This window comes from Homo sapiens, chromosome 1 (genome assembly GCF_000001405.40).
Source record: "Homo sapiens chromosome 1, GRCh38.p14 Primary Assembly".
Classification (NCBI taxonomy): domain Eukaryota; kingdom Metazoa; phylum Chordata; class Mammalia; order Primates; family Hominidae; genus Homo; species Homo sapiens.
In genome coordinates this window covers 22,242,245-22,268,269 of record NC_000001.11, presented here as the reverse complement: position 1 = coordinate 22,268,269, position 26,025 = coordinate 22,242,245, and the positions used below count along the sequence as shown (strand labels likewise).

The 26,025-nt window shown below is 55.4% G+C and overlaps 1 long non-coding RNA gene and 1 other non-coding gene across 2 annotated transcripts, besides 8 other annotated features; both read right to left on the bottom strand.

Moving 5' to 3' along the window:
* Nucleotides 1,289–1,808: an enhancer, noted in NCBI's record as "H3K27ac-H3K4me1 hESC enhancer chr1:22592955-22593474 (GRCh37/hg19 assembly coordinates)". NCBI's record gives its function as "activates a minimal SCP1, AML or CMV promoter by ChIP-STARR-seq in primed H9 embryonic stem cells {active_cell/tissue: H9 hESC(primed)}" and the evidence as "EXISTENCE:reporter gene assay evidence [ECO:0000049][PMID:30033119]".
* On the bottom strand, nt 1,970–2,031 carry MIR4418 (microRNA 4418). The gene has a single exon (NR_039613.1). It is a non-coding gene; the product is annotated as a microRNA 4418 (primary transcript).
* Nucleotides 2,465–3,347: an enhancer, noted in NCBI's record as "H3K4me1 hESC enhancer chr1:22591416-22592298 (GRCh37/hg19 assembly coordinates)". NCBI's record gives its function as "activates a minimal SCP1, AML or CMV promoter by ChIP-STARR-seq in primed H9 embryonic stem cells {active_cell/tissue: H9 hESC(primed)}" and the evidence as "EXISTENCE:reporter gene assay evidence [ECO:0000049][PMID:30033119]".
* Nucleotides 3,348–4,231: an enhancer, noted in NCBI's record as "H3K27ac-H3K4me1 hESC enhancer chr1:22590532-22591415 (GRCh37/hg19 assembly coordinates)". NCBI's record gives its function as "activates a minimal SCP1, AML or CMV promoter by ChIP-STARR-seq in naive H9 embryonic stem cells {active_cell/tissue: H9 hESC(naive)}" and the evidence as "EXISTENCE:reporter gene assay evidence [ECO:0000049][PMID:30033119]".
* Nucleotides 6,449–7,075: an enhancer, noted in NCBI's record as "H3K27ac-H3K4me1 hESC enhancer chr1:22587688-22588314 (GRCh37/hg19 assembly coordinates)". NCBI's record gives its function as "activates a minimal SCP1, AML or CMV promoter by ChIP-STARR-seq in naive H9 embryonic stem cells {active_cell/tissue: H9 hESC(naive)}" and the evidence as "EXISTENCE:reporter gene assay evidence [ECO:0000049][PMID:30033119]".
* On the bottom strand, nt 10,303–15,705 carry LOC107985377 (uncharacterized). Its single transcript, XR_001737789.1, has 5 exons — nt 15,596–15,705; nt 15,337–15,441; nt 13,228–13,351; nt 11,912–11,953; nt 10,303–10,611 (listed from the first exon to the last, which is right to left on the bottom strand). It is a non-coding gene; the product is annotated as an uncharacterized LOC107985377 (long non-coding RNA).
* Nucleotides 12,750–13,652: an enhancer, noted in NCBI's record as "H3K4me1 hESC enhancer chr1:22581111-22582013 (GRCh37/hg19 assembly coordinates)". NCBI's record gives its function as "activates a minimal SCP1, AML or CMV promoter by ChIP-STARR-seq in naive H9 embryonic stem cells {active_cell/tissue: H9 hESC(naive)}" and the evidence as "EXISTENCE:reporter gene assay evidence [ECO:0000049][PMID:30033119]".
* Nucleotides 13,653–14,557: an enhancer, noted in NCBI's record as "H3K4me1 hESC enhancer chr1:22580206-22581110 (GRCh37/hg19 assembly coordinates)". NCBI's record gives its function as "activates a minimal SCP1, AML or CMV promoter by ChIP-STARR-seq in naive H9 embryonic stem cells {active_cell/tissue: H9 hESC(naive)}" and the evidence as "EXISTENCE:reporter gene assay evidence [ECO:0000049][PMID:30033119]".
* Nucleotides 18,751–19,460: an enhancer, noted in NCBI's record as "H3K4me1 hESC enhancer chr1:22575303-22576012 (GRCh37/hg19 assembly coordinates)". NCBI's record gives its function as "activates a minimal SCP1, AML or CMV promoter by ChIP-STARR-seq in primed H9 embryonic stem cells {active_cell/tissue: H9 hESC(primed)}" and the evidence as "EXISTENCE:reporter gene assay evidence [ECO:0000049][PMID:30033119]".
* Nucleotides 19,461–20,170: an enhancer, noted in NCBI's record as "H3K4me1 hESC enhancer chr1:22574593-22575302 (GRCh37/hg19 assembly coordinates)". NCBI's record gives its function as "activates a minimal SCP1, AML or CMV promoter by ChIP-STARR-seq in primed H9 embryonic stem cells {active_cell/tissue: H9 hESC(primed)}" and the evidence as "EXISTENCE:reporter gene assay evidence [ECO:0000049][PMID:30033119]".

Below are 26,025 nucleotides of genomic sequence, written 5' to 3'. Positions count from 1 at the left end.
CCAGGGCTTTCAAACGCCTGGAGTGGAGTCCAGGAATGTCAGGCAGGGAGGCAGGAAGAATAAACCCCGTGGGTCTAGGCAGAAGACAAGGCCAGTGAAACAGTCGCATTGTCCCTGGAAGAATGGAAGCAGAGCCAGGTGTGGGGAGGCAGGCCCAGCCCCGAGCGCCAGGGGTGTGCTCTGGACCCCGCCCCGCTGGACAGGAGCTGGGTTGCTCAGTGATATGCACAAGCAGCCAGGTACCAGCAAGGCCATGCCAGAGAGAAGGAAGCTTCCTGTATCCCAGGGACACCAGACCCTGCTGCCCTGGGCCAGCTGAGAACCCCCTGCGCCCCCCCTCCCCTGCAGCCCCCAGGTGCGGAGGAGGGATCTCTCCAAGGGAGCGAGACGATCAAAAGGAGGTGCCTGTAAATCACCACGGAGCCTCCCTCTCTGCTTTCCATGCACCGGGGAGCCTTCCCAGAGCTCAGATGTGGTTCAAGGACCCCTCGGAGATCCCAGCCTGACGTGGCTCCCTCCAGCCACGGTTCAGCCCCCTCGGCCAGGGAGGAGGGTGGGTAGGGGCAGGGGAGGCCTTCCACTAGACTCAGGTTTTTGCCACACAGGTCTGACTTCCCACTCCCACCCCAACAACGCACACACACACACACGCATGCACACACACGCATGCACACACACACATGCACACACACACGCACACACTCAGGCCCAGCGATGCACACGCCACACAGCTGGGGGCCAGCCACCCAACACCTTCCATTGGGCGGGAGGTCCAGCTTTGACCACCTGCAGCATCCCTGCCCAAACTAAGGCCATCTCAAAGGGTCAGTATGCCTAGGGCCATGTGCTCCTGGAAATTGTCCGGCCACACCTTCTCCCCAGAAGCCAACATTTGCTTTAGAAAAATTGGACTGATGCTTGAACCGGGAGGCGGAGCTTGCCATGAGCCAAGATGGCGCCACTGCACTCCAGCCTGGGTGACAGAGCAAGACTCCATCTCAAAAAAAAAAAAAAAAAGAAAAGAAAAATCGGATTGAAATGAACACCCAGGGCCCTGTTGCAGGGGGAATGGGGGATGCCATGAGGCTGCACCACGGCAGTCCTTACACCCCTGGGCAGAGGTTCCTGGACAGGTGAGTCAGTCTTCAGACCCCAACTCCTTCCGCCTACCTGGAGCTTCCTGTGCAGCGGCAGCTTGAAGCTGTGGGGAGCATGGTTAGAAGTCAGTTCCAATGACAGCTTCACCCTTTCCTTGTGGCCTTGGGCAAGTCACTTGGCCTCTTTGATGAGCTCCAGGTTCCCCGTTTATCAAGTTTATCAACCGTAGAGGGACCAGGCACATAGTAAATACCCCTCTCCTAAGCCCTGCCAGGGGCCACCATAGCTCATGGTCAATATGAATAATAAGGGGGCTGTGTGTCATCTCAGTCCCACACAGGCACCATCTCATTCAACCCTCACAAGCAGCCCGCCTGGGAGATACTCCTATTATCTCCACTTTACAGATGAGACGATGGGGCTCAGGGTGGTTAAGAACTTGTCCAAGGTCACAGGAAGATGCAAGCCAAGGTCTGTCTGATGCCAACACCCAGGTGCCCTGAATCAACTGCTGGCACTGCCCCTTAGTTCGGCTCGGCCCCACCTCAGCTGACCCCTGGGGCCTCTCCTAAGGCTCTAGAGGGGAGGGGCGTTGAAGCTTTGCACACACAAGAAGCCACACAGCCAAGCAAATGAGCGATGTGGCTCCCAGGGGAACTGGGCTCATGCCCCTGGACTGCTAATGGCCCCCAGGTTTACATCTTCCACTCCAGGCTTGGGTCATCAAATCCCTGACGTCCCACTCAACTTATCTGAGATGGGGCCTCCCCCGCCTCCCCTGCTCTGCCCTCTGTTCCCAAGCCACCACCACGTCTCAGTGGGTTCTGGCGACAGCCTCCTCACTGGTCCCCCACCTCCCACTTACTATCCAGAATTCCTGCTGAGTCCTGCAGTGACTCCCACAACCACCACGGTCACTCAGAGCAAAAACCAAAGCCCCCAGGAGGCCCCCCAGGCCCCTGGGTGACACAGAGGCTCTGCTGACTCCTCTCCTCCCACCCTCCCCCTCACCTGTCCACTCCAGCCACACTGGCCCCTTTGCCGTCCCTAGAACCCCCCAAGCATGCTCCCACCTAGGGACCTTTGACTAGCTGCGTCCTCAGCCTGGGCACCCTGCCTCCAGAGAATGACATCTCCAGCCTCTCATCCTTCAGGTCTCTGCTCAGGTATCTTCTCAGTGGCCCTCCCTGAGAGGCCATGTAACACAGCCCTCCTTTTCCCCTCACGCTGCTGAATTTCGTTCCCTAGCATGCGTCACTATGTGCCATATTACTAATGGCTTGTCTGTTTAATGTCTACCTCATCACAGAGGACACACGCTTCTATGAAAGTAGAAGCCTCTCCCGCCTTCTTATCTCCCGTTCATGCTTGGAGCCTAGAACAGTGCCTGGCACAAAGCAGACCCTCGAGAAACATTTTTTGAAGGAATGAATGAAGGAATGTTGGCATAGTGGTGGGGCTGAGGATTGGGAAGGAAGGGTGGAGAGAAGCAGGAAAGGGAAATGTATGGAAGCAGACATGAAAAAGCTGCGCAGAAGTGTGCATGTGTGTGCAGGGGTGGACACGACACACACACGCACACACACACAGGTGTCAGTACGGTAACCATGGATGAATCGCGAGGCCAACAGGCAGAGACACAAATGCACTATCTACTAACAAACACAGACGCACACCACACAGATACGCTCACACACAAATACACACACACATGCACATCCCCAGATATACACATACGTCCTCATACATGCATCCCCAAATATACACATACATGCACATACACCCTGGCGCGCACACACACACACACACACACACACACACACACACACACACACAGAGCTCCTTACCAGAACTCTGCTCTGGCCCCACATCCCCCTCACCCCAACTCTACACCCGGCTCCCAGGCAGGGAAGGAGCTTTTCCAGGTGACCTCACTGAGCGGGAGTTAAACTCCACCAGCTCTTTTTCAAAGCGGATTTGGCTCCAGTCTCCCTTGTAATCTGCTCCTGGATCAGTGCTCACAGGGGCGCTGGCCCTGGCCTAAGGTCAGGACCTCTCACCTTCTCCCAGGAAGTCCCACTGAGTCCTCCCCCACCCCCAGACCCCCAATCAGCTGCTTCCCCTGACCAGTATAACCTGCTGAGCTGAATTCTTGCTGGGTATTTTCAAACAATTCCAGTTATTTGGGGGGAGGGGTGGTACTGTGATCCCCAGGAGGGGTTTGGTATGGGGGTGGGGGCTAGGGAGCAGAGGGGATGCCCGTCAGGGTGGGACAGCCTCTAAGTTGCCTGTGCTGCAACAGCGACCTGGCCCCACCCCACTCTCTTTTTCAGCCTCTTCCAGCCCGACTCCAGCCTCTGTTTCCCGAAAACATGCCACCTTTCAAACCTCCAGGCCTTTCCACTTGCAGGGCCGTCTGCGCTTACTTCCCCAGTGAGTAAACTCCTCCACATCCTTCAAAGCCTCAGTCCGATGTCCTTGCCACTTCTAGGCTGGGGCTGCCACCGCCCTCTGCCCGTCCTGGTCTCTGTGTTATCCTGGCCTGGCTGAGTGTCTCCCTCCTGTCTAGATGGAGGTCTCTGAGAGCAGGAGGCACAGTGATGCCGCCAATACCTAGTGCAGATGCCAGTGCAGGGCCTGACCCCGAGCACAGGCCCAGGAAATGCTTATAGAATGTGAAAAAGGGGTTGGGGGAGGGTAATGCAGAGGTCTGGACGAGGCACCTGGATCCGTCTCTCCCTTGCTTCTGCCTTGAGCCAGACATGTACCCTCTCTGGCCTGCTGTTCCTAGGAGCCTGGGCTCACTGAGGCCTCAGAAGGGCTGACCCCAGAAGGAAGAGGTGGGGCCTAGAAGGAGCTGCCATGGCCAGGTGGGGGCTGGTTGTGGCCCTCAGGGTCGAGAGAGGGAGGGCTGCTGCTGTCTCACACGTCTTTACTGTCACCAGCACCACTGTCACCAGCACCATCCCTAAGACCACCGCCACTAACTTCAAGACCACCACCCTCCCCCGCAGCACCATCCTCCTGTATGGTGCCAGCACCACTGTGATCATCGGCACACTGCCCACACCACTCTTACATCCCTCTATCTGCACAAGCGCGTGTGTACACACACACATGCACACACACACTGTTCTCCAAAGCACAACTGTATCATTTTTGTCTCTGGACACCCCCACCCCACCACCACCACCCAGTGAAGAGCCTGGCACATTCTAGAAGCTCCATGTCGAGGACTGAAGGAAGGACTCGGTGGAGGAGGATGGCTCCCATGATTTGGCCCCACTTGCTCCAGCTCGCCCAGCCAACAGAGAAGGATGGAGCAGGACAGGTCCGAGGTCTAAGGGGACCCCAATGTCCCCCGTGTCCCTGCCCCTGTTCTGGCTGCCCAAGACCAACAGGGCCACCAAGGGAATGATTTTCTCTCTAAGTCCCCAAGTTCTTCTACACAAACCGGGCTGAGCTTCCGCCTGAAATCCCAGGACCCACAGAGTTATATCAGAAAGTCCAAGACACAGTGAGAGCTCCTGAAGCCCACCAGCCTCCGTTTCCTGGTTTGTAAAATGAGGAGCATGGGCCCCGCCTTTCAGGGCTGCTGGAAGGATGCCACGAGAGGCAGCAGGGCAGGTGGCCGGCTCCAGGGCCTGGCATCTAGCGGGGGCTTTCCCTCGACCTGGCAGCCCCTCGTCCCCTGGACTGCACGGCTGCTGGGGTAGGGGTGTTGCTGCACTCTAGGGTCAGGGCTGCAGAGGGACACCAAATGTGAAGCTGCCTGAGTCCTGAGCATCACCCAGATGCTCCCATGAGCTCCTCTCCAGCCCTACGAAGAACAGTCTGCATTCCCACTGGGCACATGAGAAAACAGTGATTCGCTTAAGGCTACCCAGCCATGAACAAGGCTCCCACGGCCCCTCGGCATGTCAGGAGGCTCTTTGGAGTGCTGTGAAGCCCTGGTCACTGAGTCACCAGCTGCCTTGACCTGGCGCTGCCACCCTCTTGGGACAGCAGGGGACCACAGCCTGGCTTGGATGTCCCACTTGGATGCATCCTAGGAAAGGAGTCTGCCCAGCCCCTTAGGCTGCGGAGCCCGAGCTGCCTGGGGAAGTTCTTCCCACAGTCTAACCTCAGTCAGGACCTGGGCAACTGTGTAGTTCGGGGGTCATCCCTGCTCTGCCTCACCCCTACACTCTCCAGGGAGACAGGAGATTGGTGGCCCACACCAGGCCCTGCCCCCTGGACCTCTTCCTCTAGAAGATTAAAGAGTCTGGGTCTCTACCACGCCTGCCGATCCCACCACCAGCCCAGGAGCAGCTTCCTGTTTGCAGGCATGGGCGCCCGTTGCCATGGTGACTGCAGGAGGTGCTCCCTCCAGGTGGCTGATACCAGGCCCGGCCCCACCCAGGGCCGGCCCCTATCACTGAGGCCTGGCTCCTCCAGCAGCTGGGCTGGTAGGACCATCTGGTCTGAGATCAAAGGGGCCGCAGGCAGGCGCTACCCAGGAACCTGGGCAAGGCAGCCCTTATCTCTCCTAGGCTGGGGAACTTTCCAGACTCAGGGCATCAGCAGCCCAGTGGGGCAGGAGGGCAGTCCACAGGGCGTGGGAACAGACTAAGGGTCCCTGTGAGTGGCATGGAGAATGTAAAAGTCAAGCCTGAGAGTGGAGACAGGCAGAAGTGGTCAGTAGCTCGTTTTTAGGGTTTGCTACCCCACATCCCCCTCATCTTGCCCTGGCCTCAGCCTGCTGTGTGACCTGGGGCACAGCACTTCACTTCTCTGAGCCTTGGTCTCCTCTCCCGCCAAGTGGGAACCACACTGACAGGTGGGAAGATCCGAAGGTTCAAGACCCATAGGACACTGGTGGGTGCTTGGTCCTAATAAAAAAGATGTTAGTTACCATTTATTGAGCACAGGCCCTTCAAGTGCATTATCTCTTTCAGTGCGCACAGTCCCCTGAGAGGGCCTTACCATCATCCACCCTCTACAAAACACTGATTTTCAAAGAGGTGAGGAAATTGCCCCAAATTGCACAGGTGGCTAGTAAATGTTGCTATTTTCCTCCTATTATATTTTCGCTGAACTCACAACAGGCCCCAAACCTCCATCCTCCCACCACAGCCCATCCTGCCAGGCCAGTAGCATGATCTTTACCTGGCAGCTCATTTCTTTCATTCACCTAACAATAGTTATCCTGAGTAACAATTATCAGTGACTCGTGCGTCTTAGCCTTGATAATAACTAGCAGGTGCTGAGCCCAGGTACTGAGCCAAGTGCCCTGGAATCTTTGTGATAGTCCCATGAGATTGGAACTGCGCTATGAGTGGGGAAATTGAAGCTCAGAGAGGGGCAGAGGCTCCCCCAGGGCCACACAGCAAGCTGGTGTCACAGCGGAGGCTGCCAACTCTGGCTGCCTCTCCATAAGCACTAGGGGCAGGGTGGGAATCCTGGGAGTGGCCTCATAAGGCCCAACATTGTGGACCCCAGCCTTAGCTCGGGGTGGGAGTCCAAGGAGGCAGGAAAAGGTGGAAATGGTGAGATCGGGAGGCCAAGCGTGAGTCTATTCATGAGGGAGAGGAAAGGAGAGAGGCATCTCCCCACCCTCACCCACCACCTCCTGTCCCTCAGCCCCACCCCTGCCTAGGCAACCTAAACTCCCAGAAAGCACTGCTTCTGTCTCTACCACCCCCTGCCTTGTAGGGAAGGCCCAAGTGGGAGGAAAGGGCAGCCACAGGTGTGGGGGGCAATGGTTGCAGGAAGTCCACGCTGGAAATGCCCCCCTTCTGGCCCAGCGGAAAGGCCCCTTCCCCGGGGAAGCCCTCGCCGAGGCCCACATCTAAATAACCCATTCTCTGCAGATGGTCAAGAGGTTGCTTCTAAATTCCAAGCCTACCATGCCCTCCCCTGCTTACAGCTCTGTCTTACAGCCCCCCATTGTTACCAGTATGAAGAGTGAAGTTCCTCGGCCCAGCATTCAAGGCTCTTCGGGTTCCAGCCCCACTTCTCACCACTTGCTGCACACCTGCCACACACCTGCACGCACACCTGCACGCACACCTGCCACACACCTGCACGCACACCTGCCACACACCTGCACGCACACCTGCACGCACACCCGCCGCACACCTGCACGCACACCCGCCGCACATCTGCACACACACCTGCTGCACACCTACATGCACACTTGCCGCACACCTGCACGTACACGTACACACAAATGCGCACACACTGTGCTCCAATCAGACCCAACTTCTGTTTCTGGAACATACTTCCCTCTGTCTCACCTCTTGGTCTTTGTGCTCTTCTCCCTGCCTGGAACATCCCATCTATTTACAACCTGAGTCTAGACTGGAACACAGGCTCCAGGAAGGCAAGGACAGAATCTTTGCTGCTGTATTCCTAGTGCAGAGCCTCAACTAGAGGAGGATTTGGGTATGCAAACAATGCAGGACTCATGAGTGAATCAAGAACTGCCCAGAATCTTCTTCCTATAAATGTAACAGAGCCTAAGAGACAATCATTAATCCCTGCACTTTCCAGAGTCTCCCCAGATAAAAGAATTCCAATTCCTTTAGCGTTTCCACATTTTCCACAATAGAACCCTGAGCTTCCAGTAGAGTAAATGAATAAGTGAGTGAATAAATGACTGGATGAATTCATAAGTGAGTGAGTGAGTTAGAGAGCTAGAACAAGAAGCAGAGATTTGTTGAAACAATGAAGTATATGGCTGAATAGAGAGATAAATGAGTGAATGGGTGGAAAGGAAGGAAAGGAGGAAGGAAGGGAGGGAGGAAGGGAGGGAGGGAGGGAGGGAGGGAAGGGAAAGCGGAAGAATAAACCCATCGAGGGAAGAGAAAACGGAAGAATAAACCCATCCAGGTGGAGCGGCACCACCTGCAAGGTCAAATGCAGAAGAGTCACGTCATTGCCCTGCAATCCACAAGCTTCCAGGAGGCTCTATACAGTTGGCAAGCGGTGGCTCAGGGTCCACCCCTGGCCCACTGCCTGTTTTTGTAAATAAAGTTTTATTTACAAAACCACACCCACATCCATTCATTTATGTATTGTCTGTAGCTGCTTCCAAGCTACAGTGGCAGAGTTGAGCAGTTGCAACAGAGATAGCAGGATGACCCGCAAAACCTGAAATATTTACTATCTGGCCCTTCCCAGAAAATGTTTGCCTGCCTCTCTGGGAGAGTCTCATGCACGAAGGACCTGAACTGGCATCCTGCCTGGAGTACTCCCAGCGCCAACTGGAATCCTCCTATAGTCTTCAAAGGGTACCCAGCTTGCACACCTCTGGGACCGGGTCCTCACGACCTCTCCAGGCAGCGCCTCCGGCTCTAGGGCAGCTCAGGCTCTTCTTTCTGCTGAGTGGAAATGTTGTCCTCCTTGTCACCACCCCCATCCCGACCTCCCGCCTGGAGCACGGGTGTTTACCCCGACCTCTGCCCTGCGTCCAGCTCCCCGCCAGCCAGGACAGCTCAGGCCCAGCCGGATACGATTCTCAACCAGGGAGGCAAGTGAGTCACCGAGTCCAGAGAGGGGACATCTGCTGGGCTCTGGTTCTCAGCTAATCTCACTAATTCTGTGTGAGGGGCCCAAGCCACCCCTGCTGCCTCTTGTTTGCATTCGGGCCTGGCGTGGAAGCCTGGGAGGAGATTCCCTCACTCAGAATTCTGGAGTGTTTGGACCCCCATGTTTATTTCAACTTCAGTTTTGTCTTTAGCCCCTGGGATGATTTCCCAAAAGAGCCAGGGCCTAAGAGGCTCTCTGACCTCGACGCGGGACTGTGCGCTGGGAGGCAGAGCTGTTCTCATTTGACCCCCACGCGGATTCCTAGCCCCACTTTACAGACAAACACACACAAGTTGTCCAGTTTCTGGCCCTGGGTTCCTGCCTTCTTGTTGCCTTCTCTAGAGCCTTCCAGAATTATCCAAGAACCACACAGAGCCTCTGTGGGTGGCTTTGGACCCATTTCCGCTGTGCTCCACTGATGCCTGGCTGGTGCCTGGAGGAGACTTAGCACAGCGGGGACCAAACACGGTGTCCTGGGGTGGCCATGGTCTCTGCCAAGACAGAAGGCAGCAGCTGCATCCTCATAGACATCCCAAGGCCCCTTCCCCGAAGTCAACACCCAGCATGGCAGGGCAGGACTCCTTGGCCCCACCTCACAGATGTGAAGACTGACACTTCTGGACACGGAAGGTCTGGAGTCTAGAAGGCTTCCTTCCCCGTAGATTCTAGGTCGTGTTTGTTTTCTTTCCTCTCTTCAATGTGTCCATTGCCTCTGTAACTATGACTACATGGAAAGGACCCACAGACGTGGGGGAGAAGAGGAGGGAGAAAGGAATGAATGAGAACAGCCTAGCAGTTAGGAACTCAGGTTCTAGAATCAGACTGGCTGGGTTCAGAGCTGACACCGCCACTCACTCACCAACAGAGCCCCACTTTCCTCATCCATCAAGTGGGGTGCATAAGGCTATCTCATGGCCTTCTGAGGGTGAAATGAGGTCATGTGCAACAAACGCCGGCCCAGAGTCTGGCACAGGCCAGTGGACGCCCCTTCCTTCCTCTAGACACAGGGGGTTTCTAGTTCTTGTGTGTGCTTATTTGTTTGTTTATTTGAGACAGGGTCTTGCTGTGTCGCCCAGGCTGGAGTGCAGTGGTGTGATCCTAGCTCACTGCAACCTCAACTCCCAGGCTCAAGCCATCCCTCCACCTCAGCCTCCCGAGTAGCTGGGACTGCAGGCACATGCCACCATGCCCAGCTAATTTTTAAAAATTTTTTGTAGTGACAGGGTCTCGCTATGTTAACCAGGCTGCCCTTGAACTCTTGGGCTGGAGAGATCCTTCTGCCTTGGACTCCCAAAGTGCTGGGATTACAGGCGTGAGCCACTGTGCCTGGCCGCCCTGGCTATTTAAATCCAGGGCATGATCTTGAGCCGCAGCGTGATGCTATTTCTAATCCTTGTTGGTACAAAACCCGCTGTGCCATCCCCAGCCCAGCCCAGCCCAGCAAGGTCCAGCCCAGGCCTTGCCGCCGTGGGAGCCTACCTGGCCTGCGGCTGCCCCGTGGCGTCACCTGTGCACATTAATGAAAAATTCACGGTGCGGAGCAGAGCCAGGCCAGACCAGGAAATTGGAAAGTCGCGGGCGCCTTACCTCAGCCCGGCCGCACACTCTCTGCTTTTATAGCTCCACGTGTAATAACATAAAAGCATAATTTATTAAAGTATCACTTTAAGTGGGGATGGCAGGAGGGGGTCCATGCCCAGGGAGCTGTGAGTGCCATATTGACCGGAGATGCCAAGGGCGGGGGGCAGGGCAGAGCCTTGGCACTCCCCCGCCCACTGTCACAGCACAGCCAGCTGGGAGGGCCGGGGAAGGGTCCAGGAGCCAGGAGAAGCCACATGCAAAGGCAGAGCCTGGAGGCAGGAGCTGAGCGGTATGGCTTTGAATCCTGGCTGTGCGGCCTTGGCTGGGTCGGCTGCCGTCTCTGAGCGGCAGTTTCCTCATCTGTAAATGGAAGGATTTTCTCAGAGGCCCTGAGCCCCTCCTCAGCGGCTCTCCTCCTAGGACTGTTCCTCCCAGAGCGAGAAAGACCTCCAGGCCCTGAGCCGTGCCAGGAAATGGCCCTAGGATTGCCTCATTAAACACGAAGGGCTATTTACACTGGAGAAACAAATATTTATCTCTGGATCGAGAAGGAGGAAGGGCTTTGGAACCCCAGTCTGGCTCAGCCCTGCCTGGTAGGAGGGGGAGGAGGAAGGGGCAGGGGGAGGGTGCAGCCCCTGAGAGGACAGGAACAGGGCTGGGAGTCATGCAAACCCGGGTTCAAATCCCAGCTCTGCCACCACCCAGGGCAGGGTCCTCATGCCCCTGTGCCTCTGTGTCCTCCCTGGAAACATGGTCCTAAGACCACCCTGACGTCTCAGGGCAAATGAAGGTTCAGTGCCTGGAACAGGGTAGGAGTCCAGCTATGGCCGCCTCTATGCCAGGCACTGGGCAAGCGCTTGTGATCCTGCAGGGAAGAAGGCAACAGGTAGCAGGTATTTCTATTAGAGAAAAAAAGGCGTGCAGGGAGAAGGTCTCACGGGGTAACCTACAGAGCTCTGAGGAGCTGGCAGCACCGGGGAATGGGACATTCAGCACACCTCCTGCAGAGGGTCAAATAAATCGATCAATATGCCCCCGACGACTAGACGCACAGCAGCGCTCTCCTGGTTTCACAGGCCCACTCACCCTAAGGGAAAAATGGCTGGGCCGCCACATGGGGAACAGGATGCAAAATTTCAGAACTCAAATTCAAGAGCATCTTTTTTTTTTTTTTTTTGAGACAGAGTCTCTCTCTGTCACCCAGGCTGGAGTGCAGTGGCCTGATCTCAGCTCACTGCAACCTCCGCCTCCCTGGTTCAAGCGATTCTCCTGCCTCAGCCTCTTGAGTAGCTGGGACTACAGGCGCGTGCCACCACACCCGGCTAATTTTTTGTATTTTTAGTAGAGACAGGGTTTCACTGTATTAGCCAGGATGGTCTCGATCTCCTGACTTCATGATTCACCTGCCTCAGCCTCCCAAAGTGCTGGGATGACAGGCACAAGCCCCCGCACCCAGCCAAGAGCATCCATTTCTACTCTGCATGGAGTCTGGGTGCCGAAATGGGAGAATTTCTGGAATCCAGCCAGTTTCCTCCACCTGCCACCCTTGTCCAGGCCACCATCCTCTCCTGCCTGGATTATTTTGGAAGCCTCCTGGCTGGCCCCTTCCTCTGCCCTTGCCCCCTACAGTCCTTTCACAGCAGCCTGTGTGTTCTTGCACCTTGGTAGCAGCTGGGGTTGTTGACGGTGGCTGAGAAGAACCCTATGAAATGGACAGAAAACGGGGTGATCAGATGTGGGAAGAATTCACTGCATGGGAGAAGCATCATTGGTACACCCTGGGAGAAGCTGCAAGGGGCCCAGCGTCAGGGCTTCTATGAGGGGCCGTTTAGCATCTCTGTGGGCCTGAGGCACAGCGTGGGCCCGGAAGACCCCAGAGGGTTGCACACACCAGAACACCAGCAAGCTCAGGGTGTGAGCAGACCAGACGGGTCAGACAGGAGCAAAGGCCTTCCCCAGAGCTCCGGGGCTGAGCAGCCACCCTGCCTGCCAGACCTTATTTATCTAACATTGTGGTTGTTGAGTTTGATGTTTGTGGAAATGATTCTGGGGCTCTCCTCCCACAGAGCTCTGGACCCACTGAGAACTTGAAAGTGACATTCCTCAACCCAGCTAAGGGTAGGGTGGGAGCCCAGCCAGAGGAGAGGGAAGGGAAAGCTAGCTGGAGACAGGGCAGGGCGACACGGTCAGTGTCCCAGCAGGAAATAGCCTCACAGAAAAGGGATTTACAGTCCCGGCACTGTGGCTCACGCCTATAATCCCAGCAATTTGGGAGGCCAAGGAGGCAGGATCACTTGGGGCCAAGAGTTCAAGACCAGTTTGGCCAACATAGTAAGACCCTGTCTCTATTTAATACATTTTTAAATAAATAAAACCCCGCCACTGTGGTGTGGGTGGGGTTAAGAGGAACCCATCAGCAATTGTGCTGCACCCAGGGGCTAGTAGGAGTGGAAAGCTGCTACCACCCTCAAGCCTGAAGGGGGAGGGGTAGGAACAGTTACTAGAACCCAGAGAGGATCTGTGTCCAGAGCAGGAGAGGGACAAAGCCAGTCCATGGCAACTCAGCAGGGAAATAATTCCTATGACCCACTTCAGCTCTCACCCCCCCAGTTCGCCAAGGCCAACCAGAAACCAGACAACAAGGGGCCCAGATGATGCCATCTGGGGTTGTCAGGTCCCAGAGCCCAGGGCAGGTCTGGGGAGAGGGGCAGGGTGAGTCTGGACGGGCCAGCAGCTCTCACAGGCTCTAGGAATTATCCTTCTGCAGGTGGAATTTGAGCAGGGCCTACTGTGGGCTCACATTTTCTTCGTTAGCCTTGACCTAAAGTTCCAGGCATCCCAAAGACCCCTAGCAGCATGCGCCTCCGTTGCCTGCAGGGACTAGGTAAAGGGGTTCTAAGCTCTTCCTTGCAGTGGACAAAAAGCACAGGCCACTGTGGGGGTAGGACAGTGGGCCACCTCCCTGCCTTTGCTCACCGTGTGCCTTCTCCCGGGCTCCTCTCTCTGCTTCCCTGCAGAAACCCTGCTCCTACTGGAAGGCCCAGCTCCAGGGCCACTCACTCTTCCTCTAAGTTCAAGTGTGAGGCCTCTCAGGGGAAAGCTGATGGGGAGGAGGGGCGAGTGGTGAAAAAGGCCAGAGTTGGGGTCGTCTCCAGCCTAGCAATCCCGCCCCCTACCCCATCAGACCTACTACCTCTTGCCCAGATGGGGCACTCGGCTGTTTGGTGACAGTGGGCCCCAGCAGCCCCTCCACCTCCCCACAGAAGCCAGTTCTCCTTCTGAAACCCAAATCTGTGCCCGTCCCACCCACTACCCTTGACCCTCTAACCCCTTCCCATTCCCTTCAGGAGCAAACCAGGCTCCCCAGGCTGGTGGGCTGGACCCCCACAATCTAGCCCTGCCTGCTTCTCCATGGCTGCTCCCCCAAAACACAGACATATCCCCTTTCCCTTTCGCAGAGTCCCCTACTTTTCTAAAAGTGGCTGCAACTCAGGATTCTTTCTGTCCAAGCACCCTCCACCCCTCAGCCTGACCCAATGCTTACTTAGCCCATAGCAAGTGCTCTTCAAGGGCTATTTGTATCGGAAACACTGACCTGGGAGAGCTGAATTCTGGTCCCAACCTGCTCCCACTCATTTGTTCAGACATGTCCCCTCCCTGCCCCTAAGGCTTGGGGTCCCCATTTGTACAAGGAAGGGCATGAGCTGGGAGCCCACCAGCTTGGAAAAATGCAAGTGTCTCCTCTCTCTCTGCTTGCCTGTCTCTCTCTTTCTGTCTCTTTCTCTCTCTCTCTCTCTCTCTCTCTCTCTCACACACACACACACACACACACACACACACACACACACACACACACACTGCCCATGCCAGCCTCTCCCCGGGACATCGGGCTTCTCCGTGGATTGAATTACCAACATTTCATCGGTGGGAGGAGGGGAGGTGGGGCAGGGGAAGGAGCTGTGAATTCCGCGCACTGAGCCTGTCCCCGCAAGGCCTGGACCAAATGCCACAGCGTGTCTGTGCCCATCTGCCTCTGGGCGGGGTATGGGTGGGGGTGGAGGTGCAGGCAGGGAGGGGCTCCCTAAAACTAGAATGCCAAAGAAAAGACACCGAGGGATCACACAGACTCACACACACTCTTTCCCACGGCCACTACTGCACATGCATGCATTCACGCATGTGCACGTGCTTAAACACACATGCATCTCCTCCACACACAGTCTCTCACATATGCGATCGTCCTTTTTATTTATTCAACAAATACCCATTGAGCCAGTTTGCCATGACAGCCTTGCTCTCCATCTCTCTTTTGTGAAACAGGCCCCCACATTTGGTCACACCCGCACACACACCCACGCCCTCAGTCGCTCACACAAACTCACACATCCCAAGGCTGGAGCTGCAGCCTCCTTCCAGAGCCCCGGGAGGGCCCTTGCAATGTGTTCACACGATGGTCAAAGCCAAAAAGAGAAATAAAAATCAGTAGTACAGGAATGTGCCAGGGAGTTAATTAATAAAAATATTATGATTTTTTTCTGGATTTGGTAATGTTTGTGGTATTTGTCAGCTTAAAAATTGAGTAATTCGTTGTGGTTTCTTTTCTCGTTTTAAAGTCTCTTTAGTATTTGTCATTTTGCATTCCTTTTAATAAAGAAAGTCCCCAAATTGAAGACATCTTGGCCCTTACCAAGCCTCACCCGCCTCTGCAAACATACAAATATTCAAACAATCACACCCACCCTGTCTCACACTCACACTGTTGCACATGAGTTCACACTCCCACACATTCTTATAAATCAAAGACTCGTCACACATGACCCAGTGTGCACGAGGCTCACCTACCTGCCCGCTGCAGACAGGCAGCCCACCCAGGGCACCCCCGGCCAGGCCCGACCTCAGGGCAGACCAGACCCCATCTCTCCAGCCTCCCAGGCTCCTGGCCTCTGACTGCAGACACTTGGCACTCCCTTGCCTACGGCCAGCTCCCAAAAGCCCCACAGCTGCTTGCCACAGACGCCGACCACTCACCCTCCCGCTCCAACCCTGGAACTGGACCATAAGCCACACACCCTGATTCTTTCTCACCTTGGACCCTCGGATGCTCCATGCCCAATGCCGCCTCAGCAGGTAACCACTGAAACCCACAGAATGTTCTGGAGTTTCCTTGGAGACCTTGTTGCCCATAGGTGGCTGGTATGGAAAAGAGGATATAAGAATTGGAATTGTACAGCCTTTCCTGGGTTCAAATCCTGACTCTAACGCCTGCTCTGTGCTCATGGGCAAGTGAGCACACCTCACTGAGCCTCAGTTTCCCCATCTGTAAAATGAGGGGCAATCATCTTACCTTAGAGGCATGTTGGGAGGATTAACTGAGCAAACACAAGCAAAGCACAGAGCGAGAGCCCAGTGCACAGTAGCGGTCATTACCACTTTTCTTCTCCACGACAGCAGGAAGGTGAGGTTGGAGCCCCGTCCCCTCGGGACTGGCCCCTCCTCCAGCCCCCAGCCCAGTCCAGCCCCCTTTCCCTGTTGCCTCAGCCACATCGCCCTCTCGGCCACCCGAGTGTTAGGATCCCAGCGCACCTGCTTCCAAGGGCTCTAATTTCCTGTAAGTGTAAGAATTCAGGTCAGACACGGCCCGCGGCCTGCAGCCCCCCTCCCGGCGGAAACCATAAATAACCCAGCTCCGCCAGCCTGGCCCAGGCACGAGACTTTCCCTCCTTACCCACTGTGCCAGGCAGGTACAGCGATTTCCATTCACACACAGGGAAACTGAGGCCGTAGAGAGGAATCTGAGTTTGAGATCCTGACCAGTGCACTAGAAAAAACTTCCATCAAAATATGCCCTTCCCACGCCCCCTGCCAAACAAATACCTCTCCTCTAATTCCCAACTGGCCAGTGACTTACACCTGAAATCTGCCCATTAGTGTGGGGGAGCCAACAACCTTTTCCTCTAAGGGCCAGAGAGAAAATATTTTAGCACTTGAGGGCCAGACAGTCTCTGTTGCAAGTACTCCACTTTGCTGATGTAGCCATAGACAGTGCAGAGACATTATTTTTTTCACAAATGCAGGCGCCCAGCTGGATTCGGCCATGGCTTGCCCACCTCTATGCTGTACCTCAAGCCCCTCCACCACACTGCAAATGAATTGAGTCTAGAATCCAAGACTGGCACAGCTCGGGCCCTTAGAGTTAGAGATTTCAGCTCAGCAATGACCAGAGGACAAAACTGAGGCCCAAAGAGGGGGACATGGATGGCTTGTCTGTGTTTCTTCAGCTGGTCAGAGCTGGGACTGCGGACTCCTTGTCTAGTGCTCTTTCCCTGACATCATGGGTCTGTCCTCCAAGCCCAAGACTCGTGACCTCCTGCTTGCTCTTCTGGAAGTTCCCTTGCTATGGTGGCTGAGAACAAGCCAGGCACTTGTCTGTCTCGCATGCCAGACTGGAAGGTTTCTGGACCACCAGGATTTGAAACTGGATCATCTCAGCGTCTCCAGTATCAGCTCCAGGGTCTCCCACAGTGAGAGGCTTACAGAGAGTGTGTGCAATGGGGACACTGAATCCCTATTCCAGGCCTTGGCCCGGGGGACTCCAGGCCAGGGTGCCCCAGCTTTGGGACAATCGATGGTTCTCTGTTATGAGGGCTGTCCTGTTCATTGTAGAATGTTTGGCAACATCACTTGCCTCTACCCTTATCAATGCCAACAGAATGGCAGGGCACACCAACATCGCCAGTTGCAACAACCAAAAATGTCTCCAGACATTCCCAAAAGTCCCCCGAAGGGCAAAATCTCTCCTGATTGAGATTCACTGCCCTAAGCCAAGGGCATCCCCCAGGTGAGAAGGTCCTCTTCCCTCCCTCACTCTGTGTGGCACAGTATGGAAACCAGTACCCATCCTCCAGCGGCCTCAGTCTCCACAGCCCAGGATGGGTCAATGCCATTAGCAGCAGCTCCAGCTGGAGGGACCGGCGGGAGGGGAGGGGAGGACGAGGAGGAATGCGGCCACAGCTGCAGGGCCCAAAAGTGCTGAGGAGTCACGAAGACGAAGACGTTTCCCTGTGAGTCAGGACCCAGGAATGTGTCACCCAGAGTGGCCACGAGCCAGAGCCCCCCACACACTACCCCCATCCACCCCCAAGGCATCTGCCTTTTATTAGAACAGAAAAGGCGGCAGGTGCCAGGTCTCTGAGAGCCCATTAAGGACCCAATAAACTCCACGGAGGGGGCTGCTGAGCCCCTGCTGAGTCCCTGAGAAGGAGGCCCCTGCCCCAGTCCAGCCCAGAAGAAGGAGCACAGGCTTTGGTGGACACCAGGGGCTTCCACCCAGCTGTGTTACGTCCCGACTGTGCCACCCCAGCCTGGCTGCCTGGGCTCCCTGGCCTGCCTTTCCTTCTTTTTCAAATTATTGTTTTTTACTCTTTATTTGATGAGGGTTTTTAACATTTTTTTTGCTTGGAATGAAACCCAACACATCACAAGCTCAAGCAAAGCTGCTCATGTCTGTCTTCCCCCTCCCCATCTGAGTCACCAGCATGAATAGCTGCCCAAGAGCCCTCTATGGGCCTCAGTTTTCACATCTGTATAGTGGGGCTCACCCATGCATCTTCCCCACAGGGTGTCTGGGAGGGGGCTGAGAGAATATAGGTCTCTCTTCTCCTTTCCCTTCCATCCCATTCCTCGTTTTAGGACAGGCCCAGCAAGCCCAGTCCCCCAAATCACTTCCCTCCCTCATCCTCAGGGCTCTACCAGCAACCTCCTGAGCTACCCGTAGCCCACCCTAGGTGCCCACAGCCCCCGGCTCCTCCTCCTGGTCCTGTTTCCACAGGCTCCCACCTGGACTCTCAGAACAGCTTCGAAGGCCACGCCTCCTCCAGGAAGCCTGTCTGGATGACACATTTCCAACACAAATCAAGCGCAAAACTTCAAGAAGCATCTCCATGGACCCGTGACTGCCCCTGCACCAAGCAGAGACCAGGCGCTCTGTAAACACTTGATCATTTAATCCCCACATCACAGCAATGAGACAGAAACTGCTCTCCCCAACTTCCAGATGTGGAAACTGAGGCTCAGAGAGGTCGAATGACATGCTCCATCTCCTGCATTTTCCACAGTACCAGGAGGCCCAATCCCGATTTTTCAAAAGGTTTATATTAACTTTTCAGAAACTGTGCCAGTCATTCACATGTACAGCAGAAACTTCTGATTTTTTATTTTTTATATTATTCTTTTGGATTATACATTTCTTCTTGCTTAATGAAACCCTTTGTGAAGCAAAATAACTTGGATGAAGAAACTACTTATTGATAGATTATAAACTCAATACAGAGATAGTTAATATTGATATGGAGATAGCTCCTGCACACACAAACACACACACACACACAACCCTGAAATCATGTGGCCCCAGGACATTTTGGGGACTTGCCAGTCCCCTGCGTCCCCTCCTATTTCCCGGGGTCTCAGTGTGACTTGAGGAAAGACAAGCTCCCCTCCTGACTCGGTCTTCCCCAGGTCTCTGGACCTAGAATTATATCTGCAGCCTCCTTCTTACAGCCAGCCCTGGATCCAGCTTTTCATTAACTGGTAAATGGAGATTTTTCATATTTAAAAATTCGGGGGCAAAGAAAGGCAGCTGTGGGGGTTCTGGACCAAGTCCTGGGCTGCAAAGCAGGAGCCCTTGGGCCCGGCCCTGCCTGCAGGAGGTGCTGGGGTCTTAGGTCCAAGGCCTCTCCCCTGAGAAGTGCCCCCTTCCTCCCACAGAGCCTGCGTCCCTCTCCCTTCCAGCTGCCCCTGGCCCCAGCCTGTAGATCTCCATGACTGTGGGGTGTGCAAGGCATCGTCCTCTGCTTGTATCATTTCATCTAGGAGTACCCGTGTCCTCATTTTACAGATGGAGCAGTGGAGGCTCCGAGAGGTTAAGCCATGCATGGGGCGTGGGTTGGATGGATGGCCTAGGAGCTCCTCCCCCCTGCCCCACACCCAGACCTTGCCAGGGCCAGGTCCAGTCTCACCAGCTTCCCAGAAGCCCTGGCTCAACAGGGCTCCACAAGAGCTTATGCCCAAGGCAGCTTTTCCCCAGGGTCCAGGCTGTGCCAGGAAGGCAGCCAGCACCCGCCTGGGAGGCTGCAAGGCAGGACAGGAGCCCAGCGTCCTCAGGGGCTCTCTGTCCATGCTCACACTCTCGCTCTGCGACTCTGGCAGACATTGCCATCAGCAGCAGCCCGGTGGGTCCTGGCAGAAAGGCCAGGGCAATCAGAGAGTATCAGCTGCTCTCCTGGCCTCAACTCAGGATCAGATCGGGTCAGCCCTGGGGGGCCACCTGCACCCGTCATGGCCACTGCTGGCCCTCCCATACTCCCTCTCCCCCCAGGGCTTCCACTCTCATGGGCTGTGCTCTAGGGGCAAATATACTTTCTGGACCACCTAGTGATCATGTAATAACCCCAATATCACTAACTCAGAATGCTTGAACCATTCTTTTTACTCATGAATTCTTCCCTTCATCTTAAAATGTCTGAACCAGCCCCTCTGTCCCTAGAATCTTTGAGCATGCGGATCTTTTTCTTTCTTGCCAAGAAGATGGAATCCCAGAGCTGGATAAGACCTGAAGTAGTGAGGACACCAATGAGGACACTGAGGCCCAGAGAGGGAGAGTGACTTGCCCAAGGTCACAAAGTGAGATGCTGGCAGAGCGGTGACAAGGACCCCTACGCATTTCCTCTGTCCCTGCCTGTGGGTCTGGAGCCTTCAGCCCCTGAAGCAAGGGAGACTTTCTCTGCGACCCTGGCCCTGCCTTCCTAGTCTGCCCACCAGGGATCAGGAAGAGGTGCCCCGCCCCTGCTCTCTGGAACGGCCCACGGGCGAGGGCCTATGTTCCAAGCCTGTAGCAGGGGCAGGAGGCACCCCTTCCCCCAGTCAGGGTGCCTGGGCCTCCAGTGCCACCCCCGAAATAGAGCAGCTCTCAGCCCGAAGATCAGGTTGCAGCCTCGCTGTCCAGATGGGGCGCCTGGCAGGGCGGGAAGCGCTTCCCCCACCACCCACGCTGCCCCCACCTGCTCCCCACTCACATGTCAGCACTTAAACCAAACCTTAAATCACAGCCTCCCCTGGAGGACATAGCCTTTTCTGGAGGCTGTGGGGACAAGAGCAACGGGTGCAGTGTCTGGGGCTGGGGAAGGGGGACATTAGTAACCAGAAGAAATGGTGGTGGGATGTCCCAGAGAGGAGAGTGATTTGAGGGTTCTTGTACTGTTGTGGATGTGCTGTTTGGCCTTAGAAGAGCCGCTTGTCCTTTCCGAACCTCAGTCTCCCTGTCTGTAAAATGGGGAGAGTGCTCCAGCTCATGCAGAGGCTGTGAACAGATAAAAGTCCCCATCCTCAAGGAGTCCACCTTCCATGGGTCAGCAGACTCGGGCTCAGGCAGTGGGGCTCTAGAGCCCGTGTTAGCAGCCAGCGGGCCATATGCCAGTGGGTGCTGGGAAGCCAGAAAAGAGGTTACGCTCTTTTATTTAGAGTGATCCAAGAAGTCCTCATCAAGGATCTGAGCAGGGGTCTCTACCCTGGCTAAGAGGGATGGGGATTATGGGTGGGGCCACAGGAGGCATACCCCTCTGCCATCCCAGGGTTCTAGGGATGGAACTGAGTTTTCTGTTGCAAGCCTCCAGCTGGACTTTGCCCAACAGCTCCCATTCCCCTAACACCCAGCAGTGCCTGGCCCCTGCAGTTCAGAGGAGCCCAGCTAGCAGGGGCCTGGACAGCCCAGGAGTCCTGGACTCCAGCCCTAAGACAACAGGAAGAGGCTGGTGTCCCTTATGGCTTTCTCAGTAGGGCCCTGGGGAGTGAGCAGGAGGCTGTGGTGTGAAGTCCCCAGCTTTAGGGACACCCCTGTAAGGCACGGTTGGGGCCCTGGAGCTTCAGGGGTGCTGGTGTCTGCAGTGGGTGGGCGCTGTGATGGTCCCACAGTGAGGGGCTCCTTCATCTTAGGGGCCACACCCCCAATACTCCAGGGGCCTAGAGCAGTAGTGATACATCTGACCTTCCCAGCCATGAGCCCATGTCATCCCCCAGCAGCCCTGCGAGGGTACAGATGAGGGCACTGAGACTCAGGGAGGCTGAGTCTTGCCCAAGGCCACACATCTGGGAAACAGCAGATGTGGCTGAGTCCAAAATTCACATGTTTTATTTCTTAGGGGAAAACTACAAATCTTATACTTGGTTTGTTGTCATTAAAGTACTTGTTTATTCAATCTCTTTTTCATTTCAAGATTTTCTTACTCGCTTTTTCAAAACACAAAATAACAAATGCACATTGGAACAAGTGACGTAGCGTTGTGTCAGCTGGTCATTGATCCCCACCTCCCAGTGTTGGCAGGCTCGAGCATCTCCTTCCAGGCCTTTCCCCAGGTCCGAGCATCCTCCTGGCCCTCAGGGTCTACCTGCCTTCTGGATGGTTCTTTCCTTCTTTGGCACAGAAACATTTCCAAAGAGCCTACTATATGCCAGGCTTTGTCATGAGTGCCGAGCTGGGCAGGCTCAAGGCACAATCCCGCCTTTCTAGAAACTGTGAGGACAAAGCATACAAACAGGTAAATGCTAGGTTACCAGCTCCACAGAACAGGGAATTCGGGTGTGCTTGTTCACGGATGCACCCTTGGCCCCTAGAGTGGGATCAGCCACAGAGTAGCTACTCAATAAATGTGTGCTGAATGAATGAATGAATGAATTTGCTGAGATGAACAATATAGAATCTGGAGTCAGTCTAGGGGGAAGTTGATGTTGAACTTGAGATCCCTGTGGGCCACCGAGGGAGGAGGGCGGGGGTCAGCCACCCTGCGGTGTTGGATGTCAGAACTTGGAGTGTGGCAAAGAAATGCAGCAGGAAGAAGTGTCCCTTTGGCTCAAACTCAGCTGCTCCACCCCCAAAGCCGGCCCCTCCCTCATGCCCCCACACCTCCCTTCCCAGGGTACAGACAGGAGGGTCTGAGCAAGGCCCCCTCCCATCAAGCCCCTCCAGCCCCAGACTGGCCAGCCCTGCCTCCCTCCCTCTCCTAAGCCGCCCCAACAAAAGCTGCCGTTGTAGGAGCCAGGACCATTGTAATTAAAAAGGAAACATAATAAAGCCCCTCTCTGAAGCCAAATCCCATCCCTAGAGCAGACGCCCGGGCCCGCCCCTCACTGCCCACCGAGGACACATGGCCCCTTTGTGTGCCCTGGGTGAGGGCCACTCCTGCCCTGCCCCACCCAGCCACTGCCCACCCTCCCCTCTCTTCCCTCGCAATCTGATGGCCCAGTATCCCCTCTGAGAGAGCCTGGCCTCCTTTTTTCACAGGGGGGAGACTGAGGCCTGAAAAGGCAGAGCCTGGACCTAGGCCTCCTGACTTCCAGGTGGCTGCTCCCTTAGCCCAGCATCTGCCCAGGGGGAGCCCTCTCTCCTGGGATCCATGCCCCAGAGCAGGGGTCCCAGACGGACAATAAAGAGCCCCTTCTCACACAGCTGAGCTCCAGGGACCTCTGAGAGACCAGGTGCTGAGGCCCAGAGAGGTTTGATGGTCCTGAGGCCACACAGCAGGGCAGAGGCAGACCTAGGACAAAGCTCCGAGTCTGCACAACTCTCTGCATGGAGCCACCAGCTTCTCCTGAGCTCAGAATCTGTCACCCCAGGAGGGGCCCTGAAGGACTCAGCCTCCAAACGTCGGCATCAGGTCTCTGTGGAGGCCGTAGGAGTGGGTGAGGGAGGAGGAGCGCCCCCTGCCTTCCTCCTGCACTGGAATGAAGACCCCTGCGGGGGATATTAGAACTCCAGGAGGCCTCCAGAGGTGTAGGACAGGCCTCCCTGCACCAATGAGTGGAAGGTTGGCCATGAGTTCTCAGAGAAGACGACAGCCAATCCCATTTCATCCCTTCTGAACTTCCGGAAACTAAGCAGTCTCTTCAAGGCCTCTGCTCAGCATCTTCTCCCAAACCTGCCAACCCCAGCTACCCTGGCCATCTGAACAGCCTCAAACATGGAGGTCAGAGCCGTCCGGCCGTTTCAACTTATCCCAGGGATCCTCTCCCCCATCATCCCCAGGTCCTCAGCTGGGATCAGCCCATGGCTAAATCGTGGCATTGGCTAAGGTTATCCGTGGTCCTGCCTGCCTCCCGTGTTGGGGATCCTGTTCCAGACCCCGGCTGCCTCCCCCCAGCACCCCACCCACCTTCTCCCCTGGTTATCAGTAACCCATACAGAGGCGATCACAGCAGCAAAGGCTCAGAGGGCAGCCAGGGAAACACCACAAGACTTCAAGTGACCAAGGATTGGGTCCCCTTCCCAACAGTGCAATGTTAGGTACGGTGATGGCAATACCTGGGGCACGGCACCCCACCACATGCACAGATGGTCACATCTAGACAGGCACTCATTTGAGACACAGGCACCTCAGGGTGTGCAGAGAAGCAGGACTATGACCAGGAAATGGTTTTGTTCATAACAAGAAGCCACCATTCATGGAGCATCTCCCCCAGAGCCCTGCTCATGCTACCTCCTTCAAGCCTCCCTTCCTTCCGGGGAAAATACTCATGATTCCCATTTGACAGATAAGGAAACTGCTCAAGTACATGCGGCCAGGGAGTGGTGGAGTTTGGATTCCAAGTTAGGTCTGTCTGGCCCCCACCCCCTGCAAGAGGATGTACAAAATGTCTAACACCCAGCCCGTCCCATCGGACACTGTGACATCAATCCCACCCTTTGCACAGCTGACCCTTTCAGAACTAAGTGGGGGTGCAAAGGTACCACTCACCCGCCCGTTCTATTCACATCAGCCAACCCAGAAATTCCCCAAAAGTGTGTCTGCATGTGAGGGTGGGCATGAGTGTGTGTACGTGTGTGCCCGTGTTTGTGTTCAGCGTCATGCTAGACAGGCCTGGGACATAGGACCCATCCATGGCCTGCCATTTTCTCTCCCCATGGTCCAACCACCTTGGCCAAAAGGACTGGGGCAGGGATGCCCCTGGGCACCCAGGGCAGGGAGCAGCCAGGAGGGGGGCAGCGTGGGCCCCACGCACTCCTGTGCCCCAGGAGCCAGCGAGGGCGGGCAGGGATTAGGCAGATAATGCCTCTTGTAAGAACAAGGGATTGTTGCAAAGGGGAAACTAGAGTGGGGGATCGGGGGGCCAGTTCAGATTTCCCCTGGGGTGAAAACTGAGCCCCCGGGAGGAGGCGCCCTGCCTGCCAGGCCCTAATCCCTATGGTTCTCACCCAAACCCCAAAGAAGAGGCTGTTCACAGGCAGCAGATTCCTGGGATTCATTAATTCAGGATTTGCAAGAGGGGCTGCCCAGCGTCCCTCCCTGCAGGCAGCAACCTGAGCAGGGCAGGTGGGTGCTGATGGTCGGGGACACCCTGGGAGCCACAGGGAACGGACGCTGGGCTGGGAGCCCCAGGAGCCTGGGGGCAGCTCAGGGTCTGCTCTGGCGGTGAGGGGAGCAGAATTCACCCCCAACTTTGCCTCACCCCAGAGCTCTTTGCCTGCCGGCCTGCCTGCCTGCCTGCCTGCCTGCCTGCCTTTCCTTCCTTCCTTCCTTCCTTCCTTCCTTCTTCTTCTTTTTTTTTGAAACAGGGTCTCTCTGTTGCCCAGGCTGGAGTGCAGTGGCACGATCTCAGTTCACTGCAGCCTCAACCTCCCATCCCACCTCAACCTCCCAAGTAGCTGGGACTACAGGCATGTGTCACAACACTAGCTAATGTTTGTATTTTTTGTAGAGACTGGATTTCAACATGTTGCCCAGGCTGGTCTCAAACTCCTGGCTCAAGCAATCTGCCCAAGTCAGACTCCCAAAGTGCTGGGATTACAGGTATGTATGAGCCACTACACCCGGCCACCCCAGAGCTATTTCTGTTTTACCAGTTTTTAGCTACTAGATTTTTCTCCTTCTCTTTATGAGATATAATTTACACACAGTAAAATGCACAGGTCTTAAATGTACAGTTGGATGAGTGTGGCAAGTATCTACGCCCAGGTAACCATCATGATCAAGCTCTAGAACATTTTGTCACCCTAGAAGTTTCCCCTGTACCCCTTCATATGAGTGCCCCAATCCAGGCAGCCACCGATCTGCTTTCCGTCACCATAGATCAGTTTTGTGTCTTCTAGAACTTGCGTAAATGGAATCCTGCTGCCTGGCTCTGCAGTAGCTCCAGCCCCATGTTCATTTGAGTGGTTGGGTTTCTGTGGAAGATTTCATCCCAGCTGAGGGCTCGCTGGCTAAAATCGGGGTGTAGACCCTGGAATCTTCCCAGACCTGAGGATTCAGGACTCCTGTGCATCTGATTCTTTGGATTCACCTCCTGGATTTTTTCAAATCTTCCACCCCCTTCCTGTCCCCACCCCAGTTCTGTGTCAGTCCCTCCTCCTGTCACTGCCACCTCTGACCTCTACCCCAACCCTTCGGGGTCCCCACAATTGCTTGCCAGCCCCTCCCTCAGCCACTCCCACCTCCACCTCCACTCCAGAGCAGCTTTCCAAATGCATAAGCTACTCTCCTTCTAGAATCCTCCATGTCTCCCTATCGCACACAGAAGGTCTGAGCATCTTTGCCTGGCATTCTAGGCCCTTCAGGGTCTACCCTGTCTCCATCTCTCAAATCTCATCCCTCACACTCTGGGCTCCACCCACAGAACCACTCTAGGCAAAACCACTGCACCCTTTCTCCCTGTTACTCTCTTCCACACCTCTACTCATGCCATTCCCTCAGGAGCCACCCGGATCCTACTCAAGTACTGCCATCCCAGGAA